This window comes from Homo sapiens, chromosome 9, assembly GCF_000001405.40.
Source record: "Homo sapiens chromosome 9, GRCh38.p14 Primary Assembly".
Taxonomy (NCBI): Eukaryota; Metazoa; Chordata; class Mammalia; order Primates; family Hominidae; genus Homo; species Homo sapiens.
In genome coordinates, this window is record NC_000009.12 from 43161622 (window position 1) to 43162805 (window position 1184).

A 1184-nucleotide genomic window follows, 5' to 3' on the forward strand; every position below is an offset into this window, starting at 1 on the left:
TTGTACTATCTGCAAGTGGACATTTGGAGTGCTTTGAGGCCTATGGTGGAAATGGAGATATCTTCAAATAAAAACTAGAGAGAAGCATTCTGACAAACTACTTTGTGATGTGTGCATTCATCTCACAGAGATGAACCTTTCTTTTGATTGAGCAGCTTTGAAACACTTTTTTTGTAGAATCTGCAAGTGGACATTTGGAGCGCTTTGAGGAGTGTGATGGAAAACCAAATATCTTCACGTAATAACTACACAGAACTATTCTGAGAAACTTCTTTGTGATGAGTGCATTCATCTCACAGAGTTGAAACTTTCTTTTGATTTTCTAGTTTGGAAACACTCTTTTTGTAGAATCTGCCAGTGGACATTTGGAGCGCTTTGTGGCCTATGGTAAAAAAGGAAATACCTTCACATAAAAACTAGACAGAAGCATTCTAACAAACTTCTTTGTGATATATGCATTCGTCTCACAGAGTTGAACTTTATTTTGATTGCGCTGTTTTGAAACACCCTTTTTGAACTTTCTGCAAGTGGACATTTGGAGTGCTTTGAGGCCTGTGGTCGAAAAGGAAATATCTTCACATAAAAACTAGACCGAAGCATTCTGACAAATTTCTTTGTGATGTGTGCATTCATTTCACAGAGTTGAAACTTTCTTTTGATTGGTTAGTTTGCAAAATCACTTCTTGTAGATTCTGCAAGTGGACATTTGGAGTGCTTTGAGGCCTATGATGGAAAAGGTAATATCTTCACTTAATAACTAGACAGAAGCATTCTGAGAAACTTCTTCGTGATGTGTGCATTCACCTCACAGATTTGAAACTTTCTTTTGATTGAGCAGATTTGAAACAATCTTTTTGTCGAATCTGCAAGTGTACATTTGGAGCACTTTGTGGCCTCTGGTGGAAAAGGAACTATCTTCACATAAAAACTAGACAGAAGCATTCTGACAAACTTCTTTGTGATGTGTGCATTCTTCTCAGAGAATTGAACTTTACTTTTGATTGACCAGTTTTGAAACACGGTTTTTTTTTCTGGTTTTTTTTTTTTTTTGGCTTTCTCCTTTTTTTATTATTGTTATTATTATACTTTAAGTTTTAGGGTACATGTGAACAATGTGCAGGTTCGTCACATATGTATCCATGTGCTGTTTTGGTGTGCTGCACCCATTAACTTGCCATTTAGCG